This window comes from Homo sapiens, chromosome 19, assembly GCF_000001405.40.
Source record: "Homo sapiens chromosome 19, GRCh38.p14 Primary Assembly".
Classification (NCBI taxonomy): domain Eukaryota; kingdom Metazoa; phylum Chordata; class Mammalia; order Primates; family Hominidae; genus Homo; species Homo sapiens.
This window is the reverse complement of record NC_000019.10, coordinates 21,557,111-21,569,888: the sequence shown is the minus strand read 5'-3', so window position 1 is coordinate 21,569,888 and position 12,778 is coordinate 21,557,111. Positions and strand designations below refer to the sequence as shown.

At 43.2% G+C, this 12,778-nt stretch overlaps 1 long non-coding RNA gene across 1 annotated transcript; it reads left to right on the top strand.

Moving 5' to 3' along the window:
- The first annotated feature begins 632 nt into the window (after window positions 1–632).
- On the top strand, window positions 633–5,966 carry LOC124904670 (uncharacterized). Its single transcript, XR_007067182.1, has 2 exons — window positions 633–4,060; window positions 5,408–5,966. It is a non-coding gene; the product is annotated as an uncharacterized LOC124904670 (long non-coding RNA).
- Window positions 5,967–12,778: the final 6,812 nt, after the last annotated feature.

Genomic DNA, 12,778 nt, shown 5'->3' with positions numbered 1-12,778 from the left:
GCTTGTAATCTCAACACTTTGGGAGGCCGAGGTGGGCGTATCACGAGGTCAGGAGATCGAGCCATCCTGGCTAACACGGTGAAACGTGTCTCTACGAAAAATACAAAAAATTAGCCAGGCATGGTGGCAGGCGCCTGTAGTCCCAGCTACTTAGGGGACTGAAGCAGGAGAATGGCGTGAACTCGGGAGGCGGAGCTTTCAGTCAGCCGAGATCGCGTCACTGCACTCCAGCCTGGTCAACAGAGCGACTCCGTCTCAAAAAACAAAAACAAAGACAAAAAATCTCATGCTGCCTTCTCAAAGCCAGGAAGGTTATAAAACCTGAAATTTCAAAATCATTATTATTATATTCTTTTCATTTGTGAATAGCCATACAGTATAATATTTATAAATGCATATAACCTTATACACAAGATTACATGCAAACACCCTCTAGGGTGGGCCTGGCTCAGCTCAGGGACGAAGCCCTTTCTGAGCGGGCGGCAGCTTAGGCAGTCACTCTTTCTTCATTCAGCCTAGCGTTTGGTCACATCTTCTGTCAATCACGATGTGAGGAGGCGGGGATTTAAGCGTTATCCAATCAGCAACACTGGGCTGGAAACCCTCCAATCAGCCACGCAGCTGGAGCGGGCAAGACAGCTTCCGGAATATGGGGGCCTTTGTCTCCGGCTGCAGCTGGAGTTCTACGTCTAGTCTTCAGAGGCCCAGTCTCCGTGACTTTGTGACCTGCAGGTATTGGGAGATCCACAGCTAAGATGCCAGGACCCCCTGGAAGCCTAGAAATGGTGAGAGTGCCGGGTCCGACATCCTGAGAAAAGGGAAGGAGTTGATTGGAACTGGTGGCAAGTGGCTGTGGTGGGACTCGGGTCTCCCGTCAGTCAGCTCCACAGTCTGCGCCCCGAGTTCTCCTTGGCCAACTCAGCCTCAGTCCTCTTCAGCCATAGCATGGTGGCTGCGCTGACAGCAGGACCCTGGGCTGAAGGTGTGGGTTGCCCCTCCACACCTGTGGGTGTTTCTCGTTAGGTGGAAGGAGAGACTTGGAAAAGAGAAAGACACAGAGACAAAGTATAGAGAAAGAAATAAGGGGACCCAGGGAACCAGCGTTCAGCATATGGAGGATTCCACCAGCCTCTGAGTTCCCTTAGTAGTTATTGATCATTCATGGGTGTTTCTCCAAGAGGGGGATGTGTCAGGGTCACAAGACAATAGTGGGGAGAGGGTCAGCAGACAAACACATGAACAAAGGTCTTTGCATCATAGACAAGGTAAAGAATCAAGTGCTGTGCTTTTAGATGTGCATACACATAAACATCTCAATGCTTTACAAAGCAGTATTGCTGCCCACATGTCCCACCTCCAGCCCTAAGGTGGTTTTTTCCTATCTCAGTCGATGGAACGTACAATCAGGTTTTATACCGAGACATTCCATTGCCCAGGGACAGGGAGGAGACAGATGCCTTCCTCTTGTCTCAACTGCAAGAGGCATGCCTTCCTCTTATACTAATCCTCCTCAGCACAGACCCTTCATGGGTGTCGGGCTGGGGGGCGGTCAGGTCTTTCCCTTCCCACGAGGCCATATTTCAGACTATCACATGGGGAGAAACCTTGGACAATACCTGGCTTTCCTAGGCAGAGGTCCCTGCGGCCTTCCGCAGTTTTTGTGTCCCTGAGTACTTGAGATTAGGGAGTGGTGATGACTCTTAAGGAGCGTGCTGCCTTCAAGCATCTGTTTAACAAAGCACATCTTGCACAACCCTTAATCCATTTAACCCTGAGTTTGACACAGCACATGTTCCAGAGAGCACAGGGTTGGGGGTAAGATTATAGATTAACAGCATCTCAAGGCAGAAGAATTTGTCTTAGTACAAAACAAAATGGAGTCTCCTATGTCTGTCTACTTTCTACACAGACACAGTAACAATCTGATCTCTCTTGCTTTTCCCCACACTGGGCGTCCTGTCTGCACAGTGACCCAGTGATGGTCCCCTGGCCTGGAGGCCTCTCTGGGCAGCTCTGCAGCCGCAGCGCCTTGTCTCTGGCCAATTGTGCAGGGACCATGGGAGGGTAGTCAGGGGAGAATCCCGACTCGGGTGAGGGTTCATGAATGGGAAGAGTTTTGGTCGGTGGGGTTCCTAGTCCCTCTTTTCATCTATTAAAAATTTATGGAGTCACCGCAAAAAGATTAAAGAATTTAATCAAAGAGTGGCTCAAAAATTGTAGAGTACCCAGCTATGGGTTTTAGTTTGTGGTTCATGGGAGGAACTTGAAGGAAAGACTTTTATAAGGTCCATGATTAAAAAAAAAAAAACAAATTCAATAATCGGTTAGGTACAGTTACCTACTTTTTTTTGTTTTTTTTTTTGAGACAGTTTTGCTCTGTCACCCAGGCTGAAGTGCAGTGGCGCGATCTCAGCTCACTGCAACCTCTCGGTGTCAAGCGATTCTCCTGCCTCAACCTCCCGAGCAGCTGGGACTACAGGGAGTCACGTACTTTCTTAATTTCCACTTTGAGTGTGTAAATTTTCTGGTTATGTAATCAGAGCTTAATTGGCCATTTATAGTTAGTTGGTTAAGCTTAAATTTTGTTTTCCCCAATGCAATTTACAAAAATTTACAAAAAAAAAAAATATATGTTTGAGGATACACACTTCACAAGAGACTGATTTTTTTTTTCCCCTGAATTTTTTAAATGTGTCCCAAGTGCGGTCTCAAGTCTAGCCCTCATCCCCCATTCCTCCAGCCTAACTCAGGCTTGAAGTAAAATACTAAATTTCCAGTTCCTTCTGACAATCCCAAATGCCAGCCTCGTTTCCCTAGTTCACATTGTCATCTATTTGTCCTTTAGTGTATATTTTCAATACTGTATTTTTTTTTACAAACCACTGGATGGCACATTTTAAAAGATTCATTTTCTGTTTGTAAATATTTCCCATGAGAAGAAAGCAAAGAATAACCCCTGACACTGTGTTGTGTAAAATCTCTGTGCCTCTTTTCCTTTTACCTTCCCTAGGCAGAGATCTTACCAGAATGCTTTGGGGTAAAGGTTTTTTTTTGGCGGGGGGAAGCTTTATTGGGTGATGTGTCCTCAACCACCCTTTAGTTTTTTCTTGGTCATCGGTTTCAGTACTGTCTGTGAATAAACCATTATATCAGCCATGGCTATGTCTGCTAGAGTGTCTAGGGAATCTCAGGTCCTGGGTCATTTTCTTTCATAGGACAGCCTGAGGTATGGAGTGTAGCCTCTCAAGGAAGCAGATGGATGCACTGGGGCTGAGAGAAATCTCCTGGTGTGCTCTTCCTTTAAAAAAGTAACCCCTTGAGACATTAACATTGTTTTCACCCAACCCAGCTTTCATATCTTGGTGACACATTGCTGGTCAGCCAATCAGAGGCTGGTATTAAGGGGAAAACAGAAATAATTTCTGTCCCCTGAATTCTCTAAGATTTGTGAAAGAAAAAATAGTATCCCCCCTAAAAAAAAAACAAAAGAAAACCTGACCCCAGAGAGATGCTGCAAAAATTTCCGAAAGTAAAACCTGGGCCACTCACTGGAACATAGTGCAGTGTCTCCTGAGAGGTTAGTCATTGAGCAGTTAAGTGAGCAGGCTGGGGTGGGAGAATCTCTCACGTGATTGGATGACCTGACTTGACACATAAGTCAGACACATCTGTTTTTTAATCATCACTGCTACACCCTGGGTTCGTCACCTTGAAAAGATTTGTTCACTTATATTGATTTCAATTTCTTAAACTGTAAATTGCATTTTATTAGTAGAGCTTGAAAGGTTCAAAAACATTTACAAAGGGCATAAAAGTGGTGGGTTTCAAAAAATATTAATATCTAATCATATATTTCGTATGTTAAAAATTCTTACTTACCTTTTTCTTTCCCAGAGAGAGTTTAGGAATTTTCTCAGGTGTGTTTTCTGTAGGTGATTTCAAACAGAATTCCAAGGCTCAGCTTTTAGAATGCTACCAAGGAAAATAATAGGGAAAATCTCCTTCGATTTTGGCTGTAGAAAATGAATACATTTCCACGAGGAAATATTGTAGATAATTGGTGAGTTACATAAATTTATAAAACATTAGTTCCTCTTTCTGCAGGGTAAATTTCTGAGAGTGAATATCTCTGTTCTGTATCCTGTTATCTTGATTTCTGAGTTTCATACTAAATTTCATGAGATGAAACTTGGTACCTCCTAGAAGTTTTTCCCTATGACTAATTGTTTACTACATTATTTTTAATAGAAATAATACAATAATAAATTTATTATCTGAAAGAAATAGATACTTTTGCTGTTCTTATTGAGGTATAAAATGTAGGCCAGGTGCGATGGCTCATGCCTGTAATCCCAGCACTTTGAGAGGTCAAGGCGGGCAGATCACGAGGTCAGGAGTTCGAGACCAGCCTGGCCAACATAGTGAAACCCGTCTCTACGTAAAATACAAAGTTAGCCAAGTGTGGTGGCATGCACCTGTAGTCCCAGCTACTCAGGAGGCTGAGGAGGCAGGACAATCACTTGAACCCAGGAGGCAGAGTTTGCATTGAGCCAAGACTGTGCCATTGCACTACAGCCTGGGTGACAAAGTGAGACTCTGTCTCAAAAAAAAAAAAAAAAAAAAGTAAGCACCTTATAATTTATTTTCCATGTATGAACACTGTGTTTGAGTAATTTTGCTGAATTTTTCAAACACTTAGTTTCAAAAATCAAGTGTATAACTCTGACATGGAAATTAAAGCCTGAGCCCAGTGACTCCAAGAAAAAACTAATGTTGAGCCTGCAAAAGGAGGTTATTAAGGGCCCAGTTAGTTCTTTCTGGGGAGCCTCCCCTGCAGAAGTCCCAGCCTGCTCAGCCCAGCTATAAAAGAAGCCTTAATCCTGAGGGAAGCTACAGAGCCCTGGAAAGCTGGGGACCCACAGGCAGATGCTAGTAAGGTTAAGATAAAAGGAGACTGGGAGAATATTACCAAAGATGAACTTGTTACTGTTTTGAGGCAGTTTCTTGACTTTTAAAAATAAAGTTGGATTTATGTAAGAAAATTCAGTGTACAAAGGAGCATTGCAACAGGAGGAAGTACCAACTATAAGATCTTTAAGGATTGCAAAGTTTAGGCAGACAAGGGCTTTCTTTCATAGGGAGGAGCAAACAAGATTAGAAAGAAGTTGGGAGGGCAATGGCAAGTGGAGGGTAAAAAAATCAGATTTTAGATCAGAGAATGTTTTTCCCTGAAGTCAGCATGTTCTTAGGAGGGATATAAAATGAAGTTTTATGTTGACTCAAAGTGAAGGTAGCTCAAAGTTCAGGAATCTGTGGGAAGGAGATAAACTTAACTGAAGTTTGCTTTATAAGTGTTTTATTTTGACCACTGAGGACAAATTCACCTCCTCTTTTTTTTTTTTTTAAGATGGAGTTTTGCTCCTGTTGCCCAGGCTGGAAATGCTATCGTGTGATCTTGGCTCACTGCAACCTCCCCATCCCAGGTTCAAGCAATTCTCCTGCCTCAGCCTCCCGACTAGCTGGGATTACAGGCATGCGCCACCACGCCTGGCTAATTTTGTATTTTTAGTAGAGATGGGGATTCTCCATGTTGGCCAGGCTCATCTCAAACTCCCAACCTGAGGTAATCCACCCGCCTTGGCCTCCCAAAGTGCTGGGATTACAGGTGTGAGCCACTGTGTCCGGCACCTTTTTTTTGAGAACAAGAAGAAAATGTGCAGAGTCTGTGTCTGGCTATGTGATAGGTAAGAAAAGACAGCACCATCTAAGTCATAATGGGAAGGGTGTTTCTTTCCATAAGCTGTTCCTGGAGCACACGATGGATGGATAATTTTATTAATCACAGCTATTTTCTAGGATTATGTATAAGCTTCATTTTTTCCCAGCTCTTTTTTTGGTCCTATATGTTTTTTCCATTTGACTTTTCCTGGGTTGTGGCTTTTACAATAAACTGGTAAACATGCTGAGTTCTGTGAGTAGCTCTATCAAATTATTGAACTTCAGGGAGCTTATGGGAGTTCTGAATTTTTAAACAGTAGCTTACAAGCACAGATGGGCCCAAGGGGTTTGTGATTGGCATCTGCTGTGAGGTCAATGTATTGAGACTAAGCCTGGAATCAGGTTCTGTGCTGACTCTGGGTAGGGTCAGAATTCAAATGTTGGACAATTAGTTGGTGTTGCAGAATTGCTTGGTGTACAGCTAACTCTACACATTTGGTGACAGAGAAAAGATATGGAATCCTGGCTTGGACTAATCGCTCGGTGTCTGGGAATGGGAGGCTCTGCTCTCCTGTACACAGGCTGTCACGCTGCCCATTGTCCTGTGATTCTAGGTCTCCTCCCAGAGTGAGAGAGGATGAAAACTTAAGGAGCTCTGATGACAGTCCCCCTTTTCCCACAGCTGCCACCACAGTATTCCCACCCACTCATAAACATACCCACTAGACATTGACATGTCCACACCCCTCCCCGGACTAGACACCACCATCAGGAACTTCACCATGGCATTTTTCATTCTAGTGTTTCTTGCCAAAAACCCACAAAAGTGTCTATAAGTCTGGCATATCCCCACACCCAGACACTGAATCTGCAGCAGAAACCTGTTTTCTCCACCTAGGGTTCTGGGCCACCTGTTCATAACCTCATCAGTCTACATGGACCCAGAAATAGCACAAACCAGTTCTTCTGCCTACATTAGACTCTCCCCCACTAATGGAGTTTTTACTTTTTAATGTTTATTTTTGGTTCAGGGGTACATGTGCAAGTTTATTATATAGATAAAACTGTCATGGAAATTTGGTATAGATTATTTTATCACTGAAGTACTAAGCATAGTACCCAACAGGTATTTTTTCTGATCTTTATCCTTCCACTCTCTACTCCAAAGTGGGCCTCAGTGTCTGTTCCTCTCTTTGTGTCCATGGTTTCCTTTTCTTTTTCTTTTTTTTTTTTTTAAGACAGATTCTTGCTCTGTCACCCAGGCTGGAGTGCAGTGGTGCCATCTCGACTCACTGCAACCTTGGCCTCCTGGGTTCAAGTGATTATTCTGCCTCAGCCTCTCAAGTAGCTGGGATTACAGGCATGCACCACCATGCACGGCTAATTTTTGTATTTGTAGTAGAGATGAGGTTTTGCCATCTTGGCCAGGCTGGTCTTGAACTCCTGACCTCTGGTGATCTGCCCACTTTGGCCTCCCAAAGTGCTGGGATTACAGGTGTGAGCCACCGTGCCCAGCCTGTGTCCATGTTTCCTTTTCTTTTTTTTTCTTTTTCTTTTTTTTTTTTTTTTGAGACAGAGTCTCACTCTGTCTCCCAGGCTGGAGTGCAGTGGCATGATGATCTCGGCTCACTGCAAGCTCCACCCCCCGGGTTCACGCCATTCTCCTGCCTCAGCCTCCTGAATAGCCTCCCGAATAGGTGCCTGCCACCACGCCCAGCTAATTTTTTTTTTTGTATTTTTTTTTAGTAGAGACGGGGTTTCACTGTGTTAGCCAGGTTGCTCTTGATCTCCTGACCTCGTGATCCACCTGTCTCAGCCTCCCAAAGTGCTGGGATTACAGGCGTGAGCCACCGCACCTGGCCTCATGTTTTCTTGTTATTATCTCTTAACTTATAAATAAGAACATGCGTTTGGTTTTCTCTTTCTGTATTAGTTTTCTAAGGATAATGGGCTTCAGCTCTGTTCATGTTGCTGCAAAGGACATAATCTTGTTCTTTTTTTATGGCCACACAGTATTCCATGATGTTTATGTACCATATTTTCTTTTAAATATTTTATTTTATTTTGGGGGGAGACCCAGGCTGGAGTCTGGGCGCCCACTGTCCTGTGATGGGCACAATCTTGGCTCACTGAAGCCTCAACATCTTGCATTCAAGCAATCCTCCTACCTCAGCTCTCCAAGTAGCTGGGGCTACAGGTGCACACCACCACGACTGGCTAATTTTTCTTTCTGTATTTTTTGTAGACCAACAAATGTTGCCTTGGTTGGTCTCAAACTCGAACTTAGGCAATCCATCTGTTTTGACCTCCCACATTCTGGAATTATAAGCATGAGCCACTTTGCCCAGCCATACCATATTTTCTTTATCCAGTCTGCCATTTTTGATGAGCATGTTGATTCCATGTCTTTGCTATTGTGAATAGTGCCACAGTGAACATGCATGTCTATGACAGAATAACTTATATTTCTTTGGGCATATACCCAATTATGAGGTTGCTGGGTCAAATGGTAATTCTGTCTTTAATTCTGTGAGGAATCACCACACTGGTTTTCACGATGGTTGAACTAATTTACACTCCCACCAGCAGTGTGTAAGCATTCCCTTTTCTCCACAACCTTGCCAGCATCTGTCATTTTTTAACTTTTGAGTAATAGCCATTCTGACTGGTGTGAGAAAGTATTTTGCTGTGGTTTTTCTTTGCATATCTCTACTGATTGGTGATGAGCATTTTTTCATATGCTTTTAGCCACACACATGTCTTTTTTTAAAAAGCATCTGTTCAGGCCGGACGTGGTGGCTCACGCCTGTAATCCCAGCACTTTGGGAGGCCGAGGCAGGTGGATCACGACGTCAAGAGTTCAAGACCAGCCTGGCCAACATGGTGAAACCCTGTCTCTACTAAAAATACAAAAATTAGCTGGGCATGGTGGTGCATGGCTGTAATCCCAACTACTCCAAAAGCTGAGGCAGGAGAATTGCTTGAACCGGCACCCGGGAGGCGGAGGTTGCAGTGAGCTGAGATAGCACCATGCACTCCAGCCTGGGAGACGGAGCAAGACTCCATCTCAAAAAAAAAAAAAAAGATCTGTTTGTGTCCTTTGCCTACTTTTTAATAAGTTTTTTTAAGTTCATGGATTCTGGATATTAGATCTTTGTCAGAAGCATAGATTGCAAATATTTTCTTTTATTCTGTAGGATGCCTGTTTACTCTGTTGATAGTTTCTTTTGCTGTGAAAAAGCTCTTTAGTTTAATAAGGTTCCATCTGTCAATTTTTGCTTTGGTTGCAATTGCTTTTGGTATCTTCTTCATAAAATATCTGCCAGTTTCTATGTCTGGAATGGTATTATTTAGGTTACCTTCCAGGGAATTTTTTTTTTTTTTTTTTTGAGATGGAGTCTCACTCTGTCACCCAGGCTGGAGTGCAATGGCGCAATCTCAGCACACTGCAACCTCTGCCTCCCTGGTTCAAGCAATTCTTCAGCCTCAGCCTCCTGAGTAGCTGGGATTACAGGTGCCTACCACCACTCCCGGCTAATTTTTATATTTTTAGTATAGACACAGTTTCGCCATGTTGGCCAGGCTGGTTGCGAACTCCTGACCTCAGGTGATCCGCCTGCCTTGACCTTCCAAAGTGCTGGGATTACATGTGTTAGCCCCACACCTGGCCTATTTTTTTTTTATAATTTTAAATTTTACATTTAAGTCTTTATCTTGAGTTGATTTTTGTATGTGGTGTAAGGAAGCGGTCCGTTTTCAGTCTTCTACATAGTGCTAGCTAGTTATCCCAGCACCATTTATTAACTAGAGAATTCTTCACACATTCCTCTCATCAGCTTTGTCAAAAATCAGATGGTTGTAAATGGGTGGCATTTCTGAGCTCTCTCTATCACATTGGTCTGTAAGTCTGCTTTTGTACCAGTACCATGCTGCTTTGGGTTTCTATAGCCTTGTAATATAGTTTGAAGTCAGGTAATGTAATGCCTCTAGTTTTGTTCTTTTTGCTTAGGATTGGTTGGCTATTTGGGGTTTTGTTTGTTTGTTTGTTCCATGTAAATTTTAAAATAGTGTTTTTTAGTTCTGTTCAGAATGTTTTGGTAGTTTGATAGGAATAGCATTAAATCTGTAAATTTCTGACCACACTCTCCACAATGTCTGTAGAAATATATTCGCTAAACACGAACTTTTCAGTCAGCTGGGTCAAGAGCTTCTGAGCAGTAGACATTGTCTCCTCACAACAGGAGGGGACAATGGATGTTCCAGAAGAAGGTGTTGATTATGCCAGTGTGGCTGTTCTCAGTGCCCTGGTGTCCCCCAAGTTTCCTGCAGTCCTGAGGCCAGCAGCCCAAGCAGCAGCAGTAGGAGCCCATCTTAGGCCGGGCTCCTAGGGTCCACCTCAGGTGCATGTCTCCATGCCAGCAGGTGGAATGTGGTGGCATCATGGGGCAGGGAGAGAGCTGCACACAGGGCTGGGCTGCCACAGGCTCAGCAGAAACAGCAGTAAAATAATCAAGTGCTGCACACTACACCTTTGCCCACTACTGCTGCCACCACCTATAATGTTTAAACAAACATCTTTTAGAGGGCTCATGTAATCCTTTATCAAGATAAGAACTCCCTGGCAGGGCATGGTGGCTTATGCCTGTAATCCCAGCACTTTGGAGGCAGAGGTGGGCGGGTCACCTGAGGTCAGGAGTTTGAGACAAGCCTGGCCAACATGGTAAAACTCCGTCTCTACTAAAAATACAAAAATTAGCCAGGTGTGATTGCCAGCACCTGTAATCCCAACTACTTGGGAGACTGAGGCAGGATAATCGCTGGAACACAGGAGGCAGAGGCTGCAGGGAGCTGAGATTGAATTAAATTCTTTTTTTTTTTTTTTTTGAGATGGAGTCTCACTCTGTCACCCAGGCTGGAGTCCAGTGGCATGATCTCGGCTCACTGCAACCTCTGCTTCCTGGGTTCAAGTGATTCTCCTCAGCCCCCTGAGTAGCTGGGATTACAGGCATGCACCACCATGCCTGGCTAATTTTTGTATTTTTAGTAGAGATGGGGTTTCATCATGTTGGCCAGCCTGGTCTTGCACTCCTGGCCTCAAGTGATCCACCCGCCTCAGCCTTCCAAATTGCTAGGATTACAGGTGTGAACCACCATGCCCAGCCTGAATTTAATTCTTTTAATTAGAATGCTTTCAAAATTTCTCAGTGTGGAATATTCAAAGCCAAACTTACAATATATCCTCAGGAAGCCTTATACCTAGAAGTTAGATGGAGTTGTCAGAAAGAGGAGTTGTCTAAACCACTAATAAATAAATTTTTAAGTATAAAATAAAATCTTAACTAGTGTATCAACAAAAAAAATCAAGTTCATACTAACAATAAAAGTTAAGAAAGTTGATGGACTGCATATATTGATTGGTAAAAGTTTTAGACACCGAAAGCTCCAAGGCCAGTAGAATATCTAGGGTAGGTGCAGTGGCTTATGCCTGTATCCCAGCACTTTGGGAGGCCAAGGCAGTCGAATCACCTGGGGCAAATCACCTAAAGTCGGGAGTTCAAGACCAGCCTGACCAACATGGAGAAACCCCTTCTCTACTAAAAATACAAAAATATAGCCAGGTGTGGTGATGCATGCCTGTAATCCCACTACTTGGGAGGCTGAGGCAGGAGAATCACTTGGACTGGGGAGGCGGAGGTTGTGATGAGCTGAGATCGCACCATTGCGCTCTGGCCTAGGCAACAAAAGTGAAACTGCATCTTAAAAAAAGAAAAAAAGAAAAAAGAATATTCTTGATCACCCAGTTAGAGCAGGTAGTCAGATAGTAATGAGTGGGGTAAGGTAGAGACCCTGGGAATGTGCCCCAGGAATGTCAGGTGATTATCAGGTGGTCAGCTCAGGATTGACAAATGGTCTCAGCTGGTACCAGGGAGGGGGAAACCTCCTAAACACAGAACACATCCTGAGCTCAGGGGCAGCAGCTGTTTCATAAAATCTCAAATATTGGGCAAGACACCCAAGCATGCACACTGAGAGGCCAAATATTGGAGTTTAACTGGTATATGACCTTTCTCTGGCACTTGATCTCTCAAGTCACACCCTTGGTTCTTTCCCAAGGGTACTTTATTTCCTTTCAACAACCCCCCACTTATGCTTCAAACCCACTCTTCGTCTCTGGGCTGGATTATTTCTTTTGAGAATGGAAGAACCAAAATCACTGCAAACCTATATGGACCAGCCATTAGTAACACGGTAACGGTGATGAATGATTTATTTTTTATTGCTGGCAATTTATTATTATTAACTTCTCCAAATTAAAAATAAAAACTGATTTACATTTGAGAGTCTATTGTTTATTATATGAAGCTTTTCATGTCTTCAGAAATAATTATCAATTCTTTTTCCAAGGATTAACAATTAACAGGTAGTTGTAACAACATTGCTGTGTTTATATCTCTTCAGATTATTAGATGCGAATAAGTTTTTATAAACAGAATTCTCTGAGGTAGAATTTCTCATATTTTGCAGCCCACAAATCAACATATCCCAAGATAGCTGTGAATTTGGGAACTGCAAGAACTGAGTTCAGATTTGTTCACCCTGGAAATTACAGAGGCAACTTCGCTACCCTTTAACCTTCTGTTGAAGGGCCACTGAGAAGCTGTTAATTTCAACCTGCAAGAGTTTTACCATTTTAGGGTTAGCACTGAAAATAAGAAAAAGGCAATTTTCTTATATTCACCCTATGTAATTAAGTGATAGTAATAGTTACCAAAACAAAGCAAAATGTGAATGGTGACTATTCAGACCATCTGCTCTATCTTCTCTGGATTCCCTGAAGTTTCTAGATTTCTTTTTGAATTCAATAGTATTATGATGTTAATTCTGTGCTTTTGCAATCTACAATATGAGTTCCAGCCAGGAGGTAGAGTTGAAGTTTTTTGTTTGTTTGTTTGTTTTTAATTTGTTTGTTTGTTTGTTTGAGATGGGGTCTCACTCTGTCACCAGGCTGGAGTGCAGTTGTGTGATCTTGGCTCACTGCAACTTCTACCTCCTAAGTTCA